Genomic DNA, 16,922 nt, shown 5'->3' with positions numbered 1-16,922 from the left:
TTGAGTGAACTCCAGCAGACCTGCAGCAGAGGGGCCTCTTAGAAGGAAAACTAATGAACAGAAAGGAATAGCATCAACATCAACAAAAAAGATATCCACACAAAAACCCCATCCAAAGGCCACTAACATCAAAGACCAAAGGCAGAAAATCCATGAAGATGAGGAAAAACCAACACAAAAAGCCTGAAAATTCCAAAAATGGGAATGCCTCTTCTCCTCCAAAGGATCACAACTCCTTGCCAGCAAGGGAACAAAAGTGGATGGAGAATGAGTTTGAGGAAGTGACAGAAGTAGGCTTCAGAACATGGGTAATAACAAACTCTTCTGAGTTAAAGGAACATGTTATAACCCAATACAAGGAAGCTAAGAACCTTGAAAAAAGGTTAGAGGAATTGCTAACCAGAATAACCAGTTTAGAGAAGAACATAAATGACCTGATGGAGCTGAAAAACACAGCACGAGAACTTCGTGAAGCATACACAAGTATCAATATCCAAATCGATTAAGTGGAAGAAAGGATATCAGAGATTGAAGATCAACTTAATGAAATAAAGCATGAAGACAAGATTAGAGAAAAAAGAATGAAAAGGAATAAACAAAGCCTCCAAGAAATGTGAGACTCTGTGAAAAGACCAAACCTACATCTGATTGGTGTACCTGGAAGTAATGAGGAGAATGGAACCAAGTTGGAAAACACTCTTCAGGATATTATCCAGGAGAACTTCCTCAACCTAGCAAGACAGACCAACACTGAAATTCAGCAAATACGGAGAACACCACAAAGATAATCCTCACGAAGAGCAACTCCAAGACACATAATTGTCAGATTCACCAAGGTTGAAATGAAGGAAAAAATGTTAAGGGCAGCCAGACAGAAAGGTCGGAATACCCACAAAGGGAAGCCCATCAGACTAACAGTGGGACTCTCTGCAGAAACCCTACAAGCAAGAAAAGAGTGGGGGCCAATATTCAACATGCTTAAAGAAAAGAATTTTCAAACTAGAATTTCATAACCAGTCAAACTAAGCTTCATAAGTGAAGGAGAAATAAAATATTTTACAGATAAGCAAATGCTGAGAGATTTTTTCACCACCAGGCCTGCTTTACAAGAGCTTCTGAAGGAAGCACTAAATGTGGAAAGGAAAAACCAGTACCAGTCACTGCAAAAACATACCAAATTGTAAAGACCATCGACACTATGAAGAAACTGCATCAACTAATAGGCAAAATAACCAGCTAGCATCATAATGACAGGATCAAATTCACACATAACAATATTAATTTTAAATGTAAACGGGCTAAATGCCCCAATTAAAAGACACAGACTGGCAAATTGGATAAAAAGTCAAGACCCATCAGCATACTGTATTCAGGAGACCCAGCTCACATGCAAAAACATACATAGGCTCAAAATAAAGGGATGGAGGACTATTTACCAAGAATTGGAAAGCAAAAAAAAAAAAAAAAAAAAAAAAAAAAAAAAAAAAAAAAAGCAGGAATTGCAATACTAGCCTCAGATAAAACAGGCTTTAAACCAACAAAGATCAAAAAACACAAAGAAGGGCATCACATAATGGTAAAGAGATAAATGCAACAAGAAGAGCTAACTATCCTAAACATATATGCACCCAATATAGGAGCACCCAGATATATAAAGCAAGTTCTTAGAGACCTACAAAGAGACTTAGACTCCCACACAATAATAGTGGGAGACTTTAAAACCCCACTGTCAAAATTAGACAGATCAACAAGACAGAAATTAACAAGTATATTCAGGACTTGAACTCAGCTCTGGACCAAGCAGACCTAATAGACATCTACAGAACTCTCCACCCCAAATTGACAGAATATACATTCTTCTCAGCACCACATTGTACTTATTCTAAAATTCACCAAATAATTGAAAGTAAAAACTCCTCAGCAGATGTGAAAGAATGGAAATCATAACAGTCTCTCAGACCACACTGCAATCAAATTAGAACTCAGGATTAAGAAACTCACTCAAAACTGCACAAATACATGGAAACTGAACAACCTGCTCCTGAATGACTACTGGGTAAATAACGAAATTAAGGCAGAAATAAGGAAGTTCTTTGAAACCAATGAGAATGAAGACAAAATGGGCCAGAATCTCTGGGACACAGCTAAAACACTGTTTAGAGGGAAATATATACCACCAAATGCCCATAAGAGAAAGCAGGAAAGATCTAAAATTGACACCCTAGCACCACAATTAAAAGAACTAGAGAAGCAAGAGCAAACACATTCAAAAGCTAGCAGAAGACAAGAAATAACTAAGATCAGAGCATAACTGAAGGAGATAGAGACACGAAAAACCCTTCAAAAAATCAATGAACCTAGGAGCTGGTTTTTTTAAAAGATTAACAAAATAGATAGACAGCTAGCCAGACTAATAGAGAAGGAAAGAGAGAAGAATCAAATAGATACAATAAAAAATGATAAAGGGGATATCACCACTGATCCCACAGAAATACAAACTACCATCAGAGAATACTATAAACACCTCTATACAAATAAACTAGAAAATCTAGAAGAAATAGATAAATTCCTGGACACATATACCCTCCCAAGACTAAATCAGGAAGAAGTTGAATCCCTGAATAGACCAATAACAAGTTCTGAAATTGAGGCAGTAATTAATAGCCTACCAACCAAAAAAAGCTGGGGACCAGACAGATTCACAGCTGAATTCTACCAGAGGTACAAAGAGGAGCTGGTACTATTCCTTCAGAAAGTATTCCAAACAATAGAAAAAGAGGGACTCCTCCCTAGCTCATTTTATGAGGCCAGCATCATCCTGATACCAAAACCTGAAGGATATACAAAAAAAAAAAAAAATTCAGGCCAATATCACTGATGAACATGGATGCGAAAATCCTCAATAAAATACTGGCAAACCAAATCCAGGAGCACATCAAAAAGCTTATCTACCACAATCAAGTCACCTTCATCCCTGGGATGCAAGGATGGTTCAACATACGCAAATCAATGCGTGTAAGCCATCACATAAACAGAACTAATGACAAAAACCACATGATTATCTCAATAGATGCAGAAAAGGTCTTCAACAAAATTCAGTATCCCTTCATGCTAAAAACTCTCAATAAACTAGGTATTGATGGAACATATCTCAAAATAATAACAGCTATTTATGACAAACCCATAGCAAATATCATACTGAATGGGCAGAAGCTGGAAACATTCCCTTTGAAAACCAGCACAAGACAAGGATGCCCTCTCTCACCACTCCTATTCAACATAGTATTGGAAGTTCTGGCCAGGGCAGTCAGGCAAGAGAAAGAAATAAAGCGTATTCAAATAGGAAGACAGGAAGTCAAATTGTCCCTGTTTGCAGATGACATGATTGCATATTTAGAAAACCCCATCATCTCAGTCCAAAATCTCCTTAAGCTGATAAGCAACTTCAGCAAAGTCTCAGGATACAAAATCAATGTACGAAAATCACAAGCATTCCTATATACCAATAACAGACAAGCAGAGAGCCAAATCATAAGTGAATGCCCATTTGCAATTGCTACAAAGAGAATAAAATACCTAGGAATACAACTTACAATGGATGTGAAGGACCTCTTCAAGGAGAACTACAAACCATTGCTGAAGGAAATAAGAGAGGACACAAACAAATGCTCATGGATAGGAAGAATCAATATCGTGAAAATGGTTGTACTGCCCAAAGTAATTTATAGATTCAATCCTATCCCCATCAAGCTACCACTGACTTTCTTCACAGAATTAGAAAAAAACTACTTTAAAGTTGGGAACCAAAAAAGAGCCCATATATCCAAGACAATCCTAAGCAAAAACAACAAAGCTGGAGGCATCACGCTAACTAACTTCAAACTATACTACAAGGCTACAGTAACTAAAACAGCATTGTACTGGTATCAAAACAGATATATAGACCAATGGAACAGAGCAGATGGCTCAGAAATAATGCCACACATATACAGCCATCTGATATTTGACAAACCTGACAAAAATAAGCAATGGGGAAAGGATTCCTTATTTAATAAATGGTGCTGGGAAAACTGGCTAGCCATATGCAGAAAACTGAAACTGGATCCCTTCCTTACACTTCATACAAAAATTAACTCAAGATGGATTAAAGACTTAAACATAAGACCTAAAACCATAAAAACCCTAGAAGAAAACTTAGGCAATACCATTCAGGACATAGGCATGGGCAAAGGCTTCATGACTAAAACACCAAAAGCAATGGCAACAAAAGCCAAAATTGATTAATGGGATCTAATTAAACTAAAGAGCTTCTGCACAGCAAAAGAAACTATCATCAGAGTAAACAGGCAACCTACAGAATGGGAGAAAATTTTTGCAATCTGTCAATCTAACTAAGGGCTTATACCCAGAATCTACAAGGAACAGATACAAATTTACAAGAAAAAAACAACCCCATCAAAAAGTGGGTGAAGGATATGAACAGACACTTCTCAAAAAGAAGACATTTATGCAGCCAAAAAACATATGAAAAAAAGCTCATAATCACTCGTCATTAGAGAAATGCAAATCAAAACCACAATGAGATACCATCTCTCACCAGTTAGAATGGCGATCATTAAAAAGTCAGGAAACAACAGATACTGGAGAGGATGTGAAGAAATAGGAACGCTTTCATATTGTTGGTGGGAGTAAATTAGTTCAATCATTGTGGAAGACAGTGTGGCAATTCCTCAAGGATCTAGAACTACAAATACCATTTGATACAGCAATCCCATTACTGGGTATATACCCAAAGGGTTACAAATCATTCTACTATAAAGATGCATTCACACATATGTTTATTACAGCACTGTTCACAATAGTAAAGACTTGGAACCAACCAAAATGCCCATCAGTGATAGACTGGATAAAGAAAATATGACACATATACACCATGGAATACTATGCAGCCATAAAAAAGGATAAGTTCATGTCCTTTGCAGAGACATGGATGAAGCTGGAAACCATCATTCTCAGCAAACTAACACAGGAACAGAAAACCAAACACTGCATGTTCTCACTCATAAGTGGGAGTTGAACAGTGAAAACACATGGACACAGGGAGGGGAACATCATATACCAGGGCCTGTCAGGGGCTGGGGGACTAGGAGAGGGATAGCATTAGGAGAAATACCTAATGTAGATGATGGGTTGATGGGTGCAGCAAACCACTATGGCATGTGTATACCTATGTAACAAACCTGCACATTCTGCACATGTATCTCAGAACTTAAAGTATAATTAAAAAAAAAAAAAAACGGCAGTGATCCTGAGCTCTGGGGAGACTGCAATGAGCAGAGCCCTCCTGCCAACTTGTATTGGACTTGTAGCAGGATTGCAAAATTGACTTCTGTTTCTTTAAGCCACTGAGATTTAGCATTATTTCTTACTGTAGTATCAGCTAATAGCTACCTTTTTCTCTATTCAATAGCACTTGTGCCCTCCACCTACAAATTTCAACTCTGATTCTACAGCAGTGATTCTGGGGCCTAGCTGCACATCCAAATAGATCTTGGAGCTTTAAAAACATCCTGATGCCCAGACTTCACGCCAGACCAATCACATCAGAATTTACTTGATTGGAAGCTGGCATTTGGTATGTTTTTTAAAACCCCAGGCAATTTTGTTGTGCTGCTGCCAGGGCTGAGGACCACTGTCATAATAATGGGGACCTGAGAAAGCTCTGTCAGTTGCCAGAAGTCGTTAAGCTTCCTATTATGAGGACTTGCCATAGGACACAAATAAGCCCAAAGATTACAGTACATTTTCTGCTTGTAACAGCTATTCCTACTTGTACGGACTTTGAAGTGATTCAGTTTCCTCTACGGATGAGAGACTGGCTCAAGAATATCCTCATGCAGCTTTATGAAGCCAACTCTGAACACGCTGGTTATCTAAATGAGAAGCAGAGAAATAAAGTAAGTTATCCACAGGTTAGCTTCTTCAATGTCTGTCTACAGGGCATGAGGAAGAAAGACGTGGTGGGGGGGCTACCTACCTCTGCATACTGGCAAAAGCCCACTATGCTTCCCCATGCCCGGTTAGCCCATGTGGCTTAACAGAATAATAGATGTCACCATTCACGCCACAAGGTTTCAGACACCACCAAACCGCCCCATTCTTCCCAATGGTCAGTGGCCTGAATTAGGGCTCTTCAATTCCTACCTAGAGCAAGCTCTGGTTGAGCAAAGTTAATATAAATTTAGCATTGATCTAGTCAGTCCAAACATCTTATTTAAATCTAAGCATTTGTTTTGTTCTCATAGGCCAGACATAGATGTATGATATAAAGTAAATCCATTACTCAAAATATCAGTAATATATTAAGATTAAAAAGCACAGAACATTGATTCCAAAAGCTTCCAGAGAAAATTCATTCACCAGATAGTTATTGAGTGTATCCTGGGTGCCAGAAATTGACCTAAATACTGGAGATACAGCAACGAAAAGAAAATCTCTGCCTTCATGAGTTTACATTCTGGGTGAAGAGACAGACTCTAAACAAATAAGTATATATGTGTGTGTGTATGTAATGTTTGTATATGCATATATTTGTACATACATATATATGCATATATGCAATTATATATAGTAAAATGAGCATTTATGTAAATATAACCAAATCAGCAAATATATGTATAAGTATGTCAGTTGGGATTAAACATGGTGTGAAGACAAATAAAACAAGAAGGAGGGTGTGCATTAACTGTGTCAGATGCTGTTTATAGGTTATGAGTTGAAGACTGAGAATTGGCCAGGGATTTAGCATGTCAAAGTCATAGCTGACCTTGATAGGAACTGTTCCTGGGGTGGGAGCATGTTTCAGGAGGGAAGCTCCAGTGGACAGAGTTCAACAGAGACTAGGAGGAATGGATGCAGCAAGTATAGACAATCCTTTCAAGGAGTTTTGCTATGAAGAGATAAAGAGAAATGGGGTGGCAGCTGGAGTGGAAAGTGAGTACAAGAGTCCCACCTAGCAGTGGGAGATGGTAGAGGATGTTTGCACGCTTCTGGAAATAACCCAGTCAAGAAGGAAATGTTAGTGGGGAGCAGAGAATGCGCACAACTGCCAGAGGGCGTTCTTCGATACATGTCCCACCCAGAGGAGAGGGATTGGACTTAGGTTAGGAGCACAGGAAGGTCGCAGGGAGCAAAGTTGTGGTTCTGGGAGCAGGTGGAGGTCCTGTTTGCTTCCAATTACTCAGTGAAATAAGAGGCAACATCACAAGCTGAGAGTTTCACAGGCACTGCTCAAGAATAATTTCTAGCCCCCGTCTTGAATACCTTGTCACAGAGAGCCTTGAGGGTATTAGCTATGAAACAGGGAAATTTCAATGGGGCTGGCCAAGCAATAACACACCAGGGTGAAAGCAAGACTGAGTGGGCACTGGATGGATGACCTAGAAGACTAAGAGTGGACTCTGTCATCGGGGGAAGGAGCAGCACTTTTCACTAACTAATCACCTTAGTCAATTCAGCCCTTTTCATTAAAACCTCATAGTTTAAAAAAAAAAAAAAAAAGCAGCGAACATTACTTGGTTAAAAGAAAGAGGCAAAACATACTTAAAATATTTAAAAGTTTAAAAAAGAATTTAAATTTCTTCTAAAAACCAGAGGTTTCTTACATCAGGTGCTATTCTGTGTAGACATGAGAAAGGCCTGTAGTATTGATTGGAAGGAATTTCATTTAGTTGCACATGATGTCCTGAGCTTGTTTTCCCCTATCGTGTTACTGTCACTCTTCAAGTAAAGTTTATAGCAAGTGACAAGTCCATTACATTTGTCTGATTCTCTGACAGTCTTCTGCCTTCCTAATCCCAGGTCAAGAAAATTTACCTGGATGAAAAGAGGCTTTTGGCTGGGGACCATCCCATTGATCTTCTCTTAAGGGACTTTAAGAAAAACTACCACATGTATGTGTATCCTGTGCACTGGCAGTTTAGTGAACTTGACCAACACCCTATGGATAGGTAAGAACTCTTTACCTTTCCATTTCTAGATTTATCTCTCTGATAAAATATCTACATATCTATGCAAAAGGAAAATCTAAACAGATTTAGGACATTTCCCAGTTCCATTTTAGAATACTGAAATGCCTGGTTAGGAGTCTAAACACAAAGCTGCTGTGTATGATGTACTCTAGAACTTAAGGTATAATAATAATAATAAAAAAGTCTGAAACTTGATAGAGCTTATGTTGATAAAGTTTATGTTTTATAATTTTATCTTTTAATTCCATTTCTCAATGAACTTTTTGAAGTCCCCTTATCACAATTATCAAAGCTATGTAATATTCATTAAAAAAAAAAAGCTGCTGTGAAGATAGCAGAATATGGCTACACCACAGCTCCCAAGTTTACATGTTAAGGTCCAGCTTCCCACAGATACTCCTCCAACTTTCTCATTCTTGATCGTAAATTCCCAAGATTGGCCCAATGTGGGTCAAGTGACTACATCTAAAACAATCAGGTATGGCCAGTAGATGAGAACCAGGTTGTACCAACATGACTGCTGGGTACACCCCTATAGATTTAGGGTGGGGGAAGGACAGTTCCTGTGAAGACAGAAAACTTGTGAATCAACATCCCAAAAGCTGTCAACCTTACCCACAAATACTTTATTTCGTTGGCAGTTTTTATCTGTATTCTATTTATATCACATATACAGCAACCTTATGGGAGAAAAATGTCCTTGGTGAGCCTGAGAGTTAAATCTTCATGCACAAGCTACTCAATTAATAGGATGCCATGTATTTCATTGCAGAGTCTTGACACATTCTGAACTTGCTCCTCTGCGAGCATCTCTGGTGCCCATGGAACACTGCATAACCCGTTTCTTTGAGGAGTGTGACCCCAACAAGGATAAGCACATCACCCTGAAGGAGTGGGGCCACTGCTTTGGAATTAAAGAAGGTAAATTCATCACCAGCCAAAGAAGAGGGATGTCTTCTTCCTCAGACAAGCCCTAAGCCCTGCATGCTTCATAGAGAGGTCCTGCCACATGTTCGAATTGGAAGCTAGAAAAAAAAAGGTGGCAGCTTCCCAGATAGGACTCCCTTGGTGCACATGCTGTCATTGCGAAGTCACTTCTTACTACCTTTATGGCACTGTTTTCAAAGGGTAGCAAGGGTGAACATGCATTGAGGTCTCAACAGTCAGCTAAGCCTAGAAAGACGTGTGAATCCAGAATTGGGCCAAATCTCAGCAGGCTTTGTGTCCTTCCTTATTTCATATCCTACCTTAACCTGGGCCTTGGGCCAAACTTTTCAAAATTACACATAAAGAATAAAAAAGCAAGCCCATTTCTGACAATGGGAGATGTCAGAACATCTCAGAATCCATTACCAACACACTAAAGACTGGATTTTACATCACAATTAGTGCTGGGATAATCCTTTAACCCAAAACTCACCCATGGCTTCACCCTCAATGAATGGGAGCTGTGGGAGGGTAGATCAGAGTATTCTTTCTTTACTCCTGCAGTGGAGGAAATTAAATTTAGATGCTTGTTTTGCTGGGTTATGTCTTAATATGTTTCCTTTTCTTTCCTTAAGTTAGGCTTGAATTTTATGAGCAAGTATGTTTTCAATAATTAAGATATGAAAGGCTGGGCACGGTGGCTCATGCCTGTAATCCCAGCACTTTGGGAAGCCGAGGTGGGTGGATCACGTGAGGTCAGGAGTTAGAGACTAGCCTGGCCAACATGGTGAAACCCCGCCTCTACCAAAAATACAAAAATTAGGCGGGCTTGGTGGCACACGCCTGTAATCCCAGCTACTCGGGAGGCTGAGGCAGGAGAATTGCTTGAACCCGGGAGGCAGAGTTTGCAGTAAGCCAAGATCCCAACACTGCACTCCAGCCTGGGTGATAGAGTGAGACTCGGTCTCAAAAAAAAAAAAAAAATGAAAGATGTTCAAACAATGAGCATTCAAATCTACTCGCAATTCTCACCACACACACACACACAAAAATGATAGTATGTGAGGTAATGCATTCGTTAATCAGATCAATTTAACCATTCCACAAGGTATATATATTTTAAAAGGTCATGTTTTACATGATAAATACATACCATTTTTATTTGTCAATTAAAATAAATAAATAAGAAAAATACCACTCACAGAACATAAATTAACAGTGAACATCAAATCTCTGAAACAGAGATTTCATTCATGTTTACAATATACCCTTGGGATAAACATGCAGCTAAGCCGTTAAAGAAAGTCAGTTCATCAAATGTCAGAAGTTCCCAAAAAGAAATAACTTGTGCATACTTCATTTTTAAAATATCCCCCATGCATATGTAGAATGCCTTGAAATTAGAGAGGAAGAGGTGAAAGTATGAGGATTTACTTATTAATAAATAGGTAAGCAGAGAGGGTCAGTCCTTTTCCTTGCAATATCATTCTGTGAAATAAACATTCTGTGAAAGGATGTATATTTTTGTAAGTACCTAGTTCTGTGTATTAGTTGTCTATGCTGCATAGTGAATCACCCCACAACTTAACAGGTTAAATTCTTTCTCACGGTTTCCAAGGGTCAGGAATCTCACAGTAACTAACCTGGATGGCTCTGGATTAGGATCTCTCATTAGGTTGTGGTCAAGGGGTCATGCAGTGCGGCAGTTATCTGATGGCTTGACTGCAGCTAAGGGTCTACTTCTAAGCCCACTCCCATGGCTCTTTGCAGGAGCCTTCAGTATCCCATCGTGTAGGCCTCTGGTCTACAGGGCTGCCCACAGCATGGTATCTGGATTCCTCCAGAGCGAGTGACCAGGCAGAAAGAGAGAAAAAGCCAAGACTGAGGCCCCAATGTCTTTTATAACCTAACCTCAGAAGTTATATATCATGATTTCTGCCTCATTCTATTGGTCACACTGACCAATCCTGCTACAGCAGGAGGAGGAGAAGGAGACCACAGGGGGTTGGATGTCAATTGTCTTTCTAACATCTATGATACAAGCAGAGTACTTATAAAAATTCAAATATATCCTTCTGTCCTGCCCTGCCCACCATTATCTAGAGGGGAAAACTCAGCTGGGATAGGATGTATTTATGGATGCCTGTTTATATGACATGTGATTTTAAAGGACTGATAAAAAGGCAAATTTAAACAGAGGCCATTTTACTTAAGAAAACCAGTTGCATCTCATTCTTCCTTTTGCAAAGCTTCTGGCAGCTCTTCAGTGTGTAAGCTCACCCAGGCTCCGCTGGGCGGTTGTCTGGGAGGAGCAGGAAGGGCTTAAAATCCAGTCATTTACAAAGCTGCTAATGATCTTGTTTGTGCACTGTGGTTTGGCCATCATTGCCTTATTTTGAAGAAAGGAAAAAATTATCACATAATAAACCAATAAAGCAGATATTAAATATTCAGTCAGAACACGTAAACAACTTACTGCTTTGGAATGTAGCTAAAGAAAAACAAATTTATTTGTAAGTATACCCTTCTTTCCTTCAAGGCTGAGAAATCTACAGGAGAAGATAAAGTTTAGCCAATGTTTTCCTGAATTTTAACTGCCTGTGATAGACGTGCTCATATATTCCTCACATAGCTGTTATTAACTAGCTGTGTGAATTAGGGCATGTTGCTTAGCCTCAGTGAGTCTCATTTTCCTTATCTGTAAAAATGGGGTTCAGGTAACAGGTGCAGGAATCCTCATTTATTTTGTGCCCATGCATACCATGCATTGACACATACCCATGCTAATCGTCAGAAAACCCTCCAAGTGAGACTAACAGGGTAAACAACTCAGATGACGCAAGTTCCCCTAAGCCATTTAAAGACATTATCCTAAGAGTACTGGGGGGCCACCAAAGTGTTTCAAACAAGCCAGTGATTTCCCTGGGTTTGTATTTAAGATGGATTCTCCTGGTTACATTGTGGTGGGGCCAAAGAATTGTTGAGAGAATACTGTGGTAAACCCAGGCAAGAGCTGATGAGAACTTGAACTAGGGGAGTGACCAAAGGGGAAAAAAAGAGAGAAGTAAACATATTCAAGATATATTTTAAGATATAAGCATACTCAAATATATAGCATGTGGAAATAAGACAATATTTGATAGGAAATATGTGGGAGCCGAGAGCAGACAGGTGAGAGACTGAAAAGAGAAGTGCAATGCCTAGGTCCCTGGCTCAGAGCAGGCAGGGTAAATAGAGGTAAATAGAGGCATCTTCCACTGAGAAAACACAAGAACAGAAGTGGATTTGGAGTAAATGACAAATTCCATTTTAGATACGTTGAATTGTAAAGTATTAGGTTGCCTCCTAAGTGTTAGTTTCATGCAAAAGTAATTATGGTTTGGCCATTATCTCTACCACTCCATCAAAACTACCATTATCCCTACCATGCCCACCACTGATGGGCACCTACATTGATTTTATATCTTTGCTATTGTGAATAGTGCTGCAACGAGCATATGAGTGCATGTGTCTTTTTAGTAAAATGATTTTTTTATAAATATACCCAGTATGGGATTGCTGGGTTGAATAGTAGATCTGTTTTAAGTTCTTTGAGAAATCTTCAAACTGCTTTCCACAGTGGCTCAACTAATTTACATTACCAGTGTCTAAGCATTCTTTTTCTCTGCAGCTTCACCAGCATGTTGTTTTTAGACTTTTTAATTACAGCCATTCTGACTGGTGTGAAATGGCATCTTATTGTGAGATGGTTTTGATTTAAATTTTCCTGATGATTAGTAACGTGGAACTTTATATATATTTGTTGGCCGCTTATATATCAAGACAGGGTTTTGGAACTGAAATGCATATTTGAGGATTATAAGCATACAGAGAATAATTGACACCAGGGAAGGGAATTAATTCTCCCAAGGAAAACGCATTGAGTTACATGAAAAGGGGTCTAGGATTGAACACTGCACTGAGAAACAACAACATCTAGATGATGGATAGGGGAGGAAGAAAGAATTCAGTAAGGAGAATGAAGTTTCTCCTGAAATGAAGGAAGAAAACCAGGATAGTGCCATGCAAAGGAGGTGTTTCAAAGAGGAGGAAGAGATTAACAGTGCCAAATGCGACTGAGATGTCAAAGAAGTTGAAAGAAATAAGGATATCCTGGGTAGCCTTGGTTAGAGTAGTTCTGGTGGAATGGTAGACATGGAAGTCACATTCTATGGGTTGAGAAGAAAAGGGAGATTAGAAAGGGTAAGGAGTGGATGTTTGAGTGCAGGAAAGACCTAGAAAAGCTACAGAGCATTTTCTAAAAAAGGGGAGCATTTTTTAGAATAAAAGAGATTTGAGCACTCCTTTCATTTACTCATTCATTTGCTCAAGAAATCTTTACAGGCCAGGCGCGGTGGCTCACGCCTGTAATCCCAGCACTTTGGGAGGCTGAGGCAGGCGGATCACGAGTTCAAGAGATCGAGACCATCTTGGCTAACACGGTGAAACCCCGTCTCTACTAAAAATACAAAAAATTAGCCGGGCGTGGTGGCGGGCGCCTGTAGTCCCAGCCACTCGGGAGGCTGAGGCAGGAGAATGGCGTGAACCCGGGAGGCGGAGCTTGCAGTGAGCCGAGACTGCGCCACTTCAGTCTGGCCTGGGTGAAAGAGCGAGACTCCGTCTCAAAAAAAAAAAAAAAAAGAGAGAGAGAGAAATCTTTACAGATGGTCTACATAAATGCAGGCACTGTTCTAGAGGCTAAATATGAAACATATTTAAATGCTAATGGAAGGGTCTAGTAAAAAAGGAAAGGTGGAAGAAGGATGTAAGAAAAAAAGAGGAAAGTAAAAGGAGAATCTTGTGAAGGTCAGAAGAGATCTTGAGCATAGGTAGAGGAATTAGCCTTAACGTCAAGAAAAAGGACAATCTCTTATCTGAGCAACAGAAAGAAGACAAAGGCTATGGGTGCAAATATAAGTAAACGTATAACTAATGAAGCTATTATCTCCATTTTACATATGAAGCCAGTACTCAAAAAAAAAAAATCAAAGTCCATAATCTTTCCCATTCTCTGGGCTAGATAAAGATTATTAGCAGGAAAATTACCTAGTGCCCACACAGAGTAGTATAATAGTTTGTTAGGGTGGGCCATGTTGGTAAGGAGTGATCTTATATTTGCTAGAGGATGCTGTCTTCTTCCACAGGTATGGCGACAATTTCTTTCACAAGCTACTCAATTAAAAACTGGAATAACCTAGCACTACACTTCTATTTATTTCCATTATTTTTCAGCTCACCTTCTAGATTAGTATACTGGGCACTTCTTGGCTGGACCTCCCGTTAACCTGCTCTTCCTCTATCAGTGGTTCTCAACCCTGCAGCCAAATTACCTGCAGAGTTTTCTAAACGTCTACATGCCATTAGTCCACCCCTAGGGATTCTGATTCTAGAGTCCAGAGGTGAGGCCTAAAAATACATATTTGTAAAAGTTCATGAGTGATGTTGCTGTCCTACCAAAGTTGAGGATCACCATTATACTGCCTTATTAGATGGTTTCTCTAATCCCCCAACTCTAATATTGTTTGTGCTACTACTCTGGCTACTTTCTAAAAGTGTCATTTTGCTTCTTGTTTTTTTATAGAGGACATAGATGAAAATCTCTTGTTTTGAACGAAGATTTTAAAGAACTCAACTTTCCAGCATCCTCCTCTGTTCTAACCACTTCAGAAATATATGCAGCTGTGATACTTGTAGATTTATATTTAGCAAAATGTTAGCATGTATGACAAGACAATGAGAGTAATTGCTTGACAACAACCTATGCACCAGGTATTTAACATTAACTTTGGAAACAAAAATGTACAATTAAGTAAAGTCAACATATGCAAAATACTGTACATTGTGAACAGAAGTTTAATTCATAGTAATTTCACTCTCTGCATTGACTTATGAGATAATTAATGATTAAACTATTAATGATAAAAATAATGCATTTGTATTGTTCATAATATCATGTGCACTTCAAGAAAATGGAATGCTACTCTTTTGTGGTTTACGTGTATTATTTTCAATATCTTAATACCCTAATAAAGAGTCCATAAAAATCCAAATGCTTATGCAAGTGTATTTCCAGTTATTATTTAGACAATCAAATGTAAAAGATCAACCCAAGACTCACACTTCATGTCAAATTATAATTGTGCTTCCTAAACCCTACTACCTTAAGTGTGTGTGTGTGTGTGTGGTTGAGAAAAAAGTGTGAGACATCTCTTACAGGAAACAAATACTCAGTGGCAAGATAAGAGGTGCTCATTAATGTCCTTCATCATTATGTAAGTTTAAACAGAAAAAAACTAATATCAAGTGCTTTTTTACCAAATTTGATATAAAATGTAGAACAAGCTGGGTGCAGAGGCTCACACCTGTAATCTCAACACTTTGGGAAGCCAAGTCGGGAGGATTCCTTGAGCTCAAGATTTCAAGACCAGCCTAGGCAACATGGAGAGACCCTGTCTCTATGAAAACTTAAAAAAATAGCCAGGGGTGGTGGCATGTACCTGTGATCCCAGCTACTTGGTGGACTTAGGTAGGAGAATTACTCGAGCCCAGCAGGTCGAGGCTGCAGTGAGCTATTGTGCCACTGCACTCCAGCCTGGGTGACAGGGCAAGGCCCTGTCTCAAAAAATAAATAAATGAAAATAAAATGTGAAAGATTATGCACTGCTTGATCCAATTAATTCTAACTTTTTGTGCAGTTGAGCATGTGTGCTGGGGAAGAGGGCGGCCCTGCAAAAATTTCACATAATCATTGCCTCACAATAAAGAAAATGTAATGGTAAAACAGGTAGAGGGCCATAAAGCGTCTTGATGTCCAATGTAGAAAGAGATTAAATATTATTAATGTAAATTGATAGCGAAAAACCTGTCATAAGCAAAAATTTGTCTTTTTATTTGCGCTCTTCTTTGGTAACTATTACAGTAAAAGCTAGATCACAAAAATATGACATTATAATATAGTTTTCCAAGTTCTGAAGTAAGGCAATAAAAGGACATGTCACTCACTTTATTTGACTATTTGAAAGAAAATGGTTTTTTACATATTTTTCTAGCTGAAATGAAAGATATCAATACAATTATCTTTTACTATTTTTTCAAATAATCAAAAATGTGTTGTTGTTGTTGTTGTTGTTACAAACCTTATCTGTGATAGTCACTGAGAGAACATGCCCCTAGGAATTTTATCTGAAAGATATTTACAGAATAGTTTATTTTTTTATCAGAATAATCTTCTCTGAGTATTTCAAAATTTCATTCGTTATCTCTTTCATAGCTCAATAAATTACTTATTCTTTTTTTTTTTTTTTTTGAGATGGAGTCTTGCTCTGTCACCCAGGCTGGAGTGCAGTGGCACAATCTCAGCTCACTGCAACCTCTGCCTCCTGGGTTCAAGAGATTCTCCTGCCTCAACCTCCTCAGTAGCTGGGATTACAGGCGTGCGCCACCACGCCCAGCTAATTTTTGTATTTTTAGTAGAGACGAGGTTTCACCATGTTGGTCAGGCTGGTCTCGAACTCCTGACCTCGTGATCCGCCCACCTCGGCCTCCCAAAGTGCTGGGATTACAGGCGTGAGCCACCACACCTGGCCAATTACCTTAACTAGAACCATATCATACTATGTCCTTTCTAAAAAATTAAGTTCAATTTGATTAATCAAAATCGAATTAAGTATTATTTGTAACTTTTTCCAACTACAGAAATAATTTTAGGAACTATTCCAAATTTCAGAACGTTTTTATATGAAGCTGAAAAGGTCTTAGCTAATTACAAACTAGGTTGCTGGGAACAGTGAAGTTGTATTCAGAGGTATTAATTAGGCCTAAATTATCTTTTACCCTCAGACAACTTTCAAAAATATTTTAGAATAGTGAAAAGTGATTTTAACACCAAGGTAAGGAAACCACCTCAATATCTACTAAAAAATTTTG

The 16,922-nt window shown here is 38.8% G+C and overlaps 1 protein-coding gene across 4 annotated transcripts in view; it reads left to right on the top strand.

Annotated features, from left to right (window-relative positions):
- Nucleotides 1-15,046, top strand: part of SPARCL1 (SPARC like 1) — a 56,042-nt gene extending 40,996 nt beyond the window's left edge. For all 4 annotated transcript variants that reach the window (NM_004684.6, NM_001291976.2, NM_001128310.3 and 1 more), the window contains 4 exons: nt 5,821-5,957; nt 7,861-8,009; nt 8,803-8,951; nt 14,578-15,046. In NM_004684.6, the coding sequence (NP_004675.3) occupies nt 5,821-5,957; nt 7,861-8,009; nt 8,803-8,951; nt 14,578-14,606 (464 nt within the window). In that variant the 3' untranslated portion in view covers nt 14,607-15,046. The remainder of the gene's footprint in view (nt 1-5,820; nt 5,958-7,860; nt 8,010-8,802; nt 8,952-14,577) is intronic.
- Nucleotides 15,047-16,922: the final 1,876 nt, after the last annotated feature.

The sequence above is a fragment of the Homo sapiens genome, chromosome 4 (assembly GCF_000001405.40).
Source record: "Homo sapiens chromosome 4, GRCh38.p14 Primary Assembly".
In the NCBI taxonomy this organism is placed as follows: Eukaryota; Metazoa; Chordata; class Mammalia; order Primates; family Hominidae; genus Homo; species Homo sapiens.
Note: the sequence above shows the minus strand (reverse complement) of the source record. Positions and strands in the feature narration are given on the sequence as shown.